Source organism: Homo sapiens, chromosome 6, assembly GCF_000001405.40.
Source record: "Homo sapiens chromosome 6, GRCh38.p14 Primary Assembly".
NCBI lineage: Eukaryota > Metazoa > Chordata > Mammalia > Primates > Hominidae > Homo > Homo sapiens.
In genome coordinates this window covers 159,490,055-159,494,263 of record NC_000006.12, presented here as the reverse complement: position 1 = coordinate 159,494,263, position 4,209 = coordinate 159,490,055, and the positions used below count along the sequence as shown (strand labels likewise).

The 4,209-nt window shown below is 47.0% G+C and overlaps 1 annotated feature.

Annotated features, from left to right (window-relative positions):
* Nucleotides 801-1,003: a silencer, noted in NCBI's record as "fragment chr6:159914293-159914495 (GRCh37/hg19 assembly coordinates)". NCBI's record gives its function as "represses an EF-1alpha promoter that drives an FKBP-Casp9 reporter gene in an ReSE screen in K562 erythroleukemia cells {active_cell/tissue: K562}" and the evidence as "EXISTENCE:reporter gene assay evidence [ECO:0000049][PMID:32094911]".

Genomic DNA, 4,209 nt, shown 5'->3' with positions numbered 1-4,209 from the left:
GAGATAAATTTAAAGGATCGTCATAGCTATTTTTGCCAAAGAAGTCTACAAAATGTTTAAATCAGAAATGGCCAGTTTTCATGTCAATTGGTATTTCTAAATCCCAGGTTTTCCCCCTGTGACATATTATAATTGAGAGATGCCCAAACAGATGTTTTCTGTTAGCTGGACTCGGTTCCAAAGGTTTCTTCATAGGCTGCTCTGAAATAATCCCCAAGGAGCTCCAGGGGCCAATAATCTCCATTTTTGCTATTGCATATGAAAATATTTTAGTCTGCTTGTGTGAGATACATTTTGTTTCTGAATAGTATTATTATTAAAAATGGGTCCTAATCACCTTTTCCGTGCATATTTTACAAATTAATTCGTTTGCCTTATTTTACTTCTTGTGGCTAGAAAATTCTACTCATTTCTTTTGTAGCTGCGAAATCATTGATTCATTTTCAGTGGTCTTTGAGACTCGCTCTCCCAAATCACACCCTGTTGGCCCGTGGAGTCCCTGAGGAGAGATACTCAGATTGTCCAAGTGTGTTCAGGCGCACCTATTCACACAACGAGCCTAATGTTTTCTTGTTGGAGTGATGTTCCAAAAGTGAAATATTTAGAGTGGAAATGGTGGAAACATTGTTTCCACAATGGGACCTGGAAATATCATTGTATAGACTCTATCAATATTGTTCTAAATCTTAAATTGTTATGTCTCAAAAGTCATTCTGAAGTCAGGGCTTACTGTGAATAATGGCTTGGAAAATAAAAATAATGTCTCTCCTGGGATCAGAAGCACTGACCCGAATAACAGGACGGGAGGGACTGACTGAGAGGGACAGAGAAGCTTTCCCAGAGTGTACAGTTCCAGGGGTCTGGAGCCTGGGAGTCTAGAATGGACTGCCAGTGACCTTCATGTGACCGTGAGGGTCTTTTTGCTTCCGAGGATCCTTGGGTCGCTCAGTAGGGATGTGAGTGAGGAGACGCTGCTGGGGCCTCCAGGCCCGATGTCGGTGGTTCTCACCAGAATGCCTCGGCTGCATGACATAGAGCTCTCTTATAAAGTTGGAGTTTCCTGTTCCAAAACGTTCAGATTTCTTGCACTTTCTCCTTGTGGGTGGAGGTGAGGGCAGGTTTCTGGCCTGGTAGACAGAAGCTGACATCACCACACACCCCAGGCCTGAGTCTGCGAAGGAGAGGCCAAGAGTGTGGCCTTCAAGGGCACCTCATGGCATGGGTGGAGCAGGATGCTGGAATCCAGGCTGTACCCCTTGTCCTTTCCTTTATTCATTCACTCCACAAAGAATTACTGAGCACTTCCTAGGTGGCAGTTGCTGTACTAGGCACTAGGTCAACCCTGGTCGGCAAAACAGACACAATGTCTGGTCACTTGAAGCTTCCATTCTACTGAGAGAGACAGAGCCTGGATACCTAGGCAAACACAGACCAATGTCATGGAGCGTTGCCATAAATTCCATGAAAAAGAGGCACGAAACACCACAGACGAGAAAAGGAAGGGATCAGGGGTCATCCCTGCTGGCGATGGCAGGGGTGAAAGCTCAAGGGTCAGGCGGTGCCTCTCTAAGGCTGTGGCATTAGCCAGAATGACAGAGAAGGGAAGGGGTGGGTCCCAGCAGGGGACAGAATGTGTGAGGCCCGACTGGAGAAATGCCTTGATGGGGTGGAGGAACCCAAGGAAGTTAAGGAGGCTCCAGTGGCAGGTGATGGGGGGAGACTGGGGTGGGATGAGGTTGGGAGTGGGCTTGGGGGCCGGGACATATAGCCATGTGCAGGCCCTGGGAACAAGCTCTTCTTTTATGCCAAGGACAGGGAAACCACAGGATGGTTTTAGCAGGAGAATAACATAATCCTGCTTACAGTTTTCTTTTTGTTGAATCCAGGTCTCACTCTGTTTCCCAGGCTGGAGTGCAGTGGCATGATGCCAGCTCATGGCAGCCTCTAACTCTTGGCCTCAATTGATCCTCCCTTCTTAGCCTCCCAAACTGCTGGGATTGCAGGCATGAGCCACTGTGCCTGGCCTCTACTTGAATTTTCAAAAGACAATTCTGGCTGCTTTATGGAGAATGGCCTGGGACTGGTGAGGAACCAATTGGATGTTGAGAACAGAAAGAAGCAGACACGGTGCCCTCCCATGTGCTCACCATGTTCCCAGGCTGCCCACCTGTCAGTCATTCTGGAAAAGGACCTCAGCAAGTTACTTTTCCAAGGAGTGTTTTTCTTTTCTTCAGTAGTGGGTGAAGGAGCAAACTCAACGAGTAGTTGTAAATTGACACATTCTCATTCCTCTAACAATTCAAATTACATTTGAGGCAGGGACTCTGCCTGTGAGTGAGGTGGGTCCTGGATGCAGCAGGGGTCATAGGCGTAGGACAGGTCCCCGGGCAGACATGACATGGGCTGGGTCCTCAGGGGCAGTGTGGGCATGTACCCTGGCATGAAAACAAGCCCCCATCCCAGAGGCTGGAATCTGTGGGGTTCTCACACTGGCCCCTGGTCCAACATTGCCAATGGCAAGATACAGAACTCTGTGGGGTTGCATTTCTCCCGGGGTAGGGGGACCCATGTGTGTCTCCAAACAGCCATGTGCCAGCTAGTCTGACAGTCAACTTAGACTGCTTGTTTATGAAAAAACAGGAGAACCATTTGATGAAAACCCAATTTTCCTTTAAAAAAAGAAGAAAATGAGAAAGCTGGTCCAAAATCATTGACATCAGGAGGAAAGACTGATTTTCCAAGGATGCAACTGGGGTGAGGCTCTTTCTGAAGTTGGAAATGAATCAGATGTTAGTGGCCTAATGGGACACAAAACACCTCAGTATTCCATGGCACCATTCAAAAAGCATGATAACATTGATTTTCTCATTTTAGTTAGCAACATAGCACCAAGCTTAAAATATAATGCCATTTGCAAGGTAAAGATCTGTGGGGTCAGCAAAGGGAAACCTCTCCTCTCAGTTTCGTGTTCCACAGCTGAAGCAGGCTATTGAAACATTGACCATCTACAGGAGAGGACCTAAAAATAATAAAAAGATAGCTTAGAGGAAATCTTGTGATGTTTCTTTGCACCTGTGGGAAACTCCTCACTTTCCCACAAATGAGGAGATGCAATTTAGAAGGAGACAGGAACAAGAGGAAGCTCTTCTATACTCCTAAGCCACACAGATGTCTGGAAGAACTTTCTAACCTGAAGGCTTCCGAGGCATTGGGATACTTCCCAACAGTGCTGACTTTATTTGTCAAGGGTTGTAGTTCACCTTTGGAGAGCCCATTTCTTCACCAGCTGCCACTTCCTCCCTTTCTGACCTCCGCTCCCTCTGAGCACCAACCTCCTTTATGCAGCCCCTCCTCCTGGCAGGTACATGGCCACCACCCCAGCCCCTGATCCTGGCTGGAATGTCTTGGGTGGTGGGCCCTTTTCCTCCTATCACAACAAAAGCTCACCAGTTCCACGTCCCTTCCCCACACTTGTCTCTCTGTGGGAGGTGCCACTGTTAATCAGACCTGCTAAGCCAGGCAACCACGCAAAGGTGTTGACAGACATCTTGCTGAGGTCAGTGAAGAACAAAGCTCTACTTGTTTTTAAAAGCTGTCTTTATTTTAAAATTTGTCCTTAAGAAGCAACCAGACGGGATTCATTCTTCTTAAAGTGGACTTTTGTTCTTGAGCAGGCATGCCAAACAGTCTCCGAGGATACACAGAAACAAATGGGCGTGCAAAGCTTTGGCTGTTGGACAAACCTGTTGCTCCACTTGGGGTGAGTCCATGTGTCTGAGCAGCAGGAGATGGGGTCAGTCTTTCCCAAGGACAGAGTCAAAACCTAGGAGATGAAGCCTCTTCATTTGTCTCTGTCCCAGATTCAGGGTCTCCTGGTTCCTGTTAGTGTCCTGTGAAAGGTTTATACACTTCTAAGCCAAAATCAAAGTACAGGAAGAAGCGTGTTTAAGCAGGAGATATTTGCACATTCTCTCCTCTCCCCATTGACCTAAATCATATTCTTTCTCTGAGGCCCAGTTAAAGCTGCATCTCCTTCATGAAGCTTCCATGAACCCTGTCTGCCTTCTTTCCTGGGTTCTTCAAGCCTTGCTCTTCACTCAATAACTGTTTTCCATTGCCAGCTGTTTAAGATTTTTCTGGGTCAAAGTGCGAGATTGTTCTGGCTCAACTTGGTCAAACTGGGGAGCTGCACCATTCCTTGAATCCCCT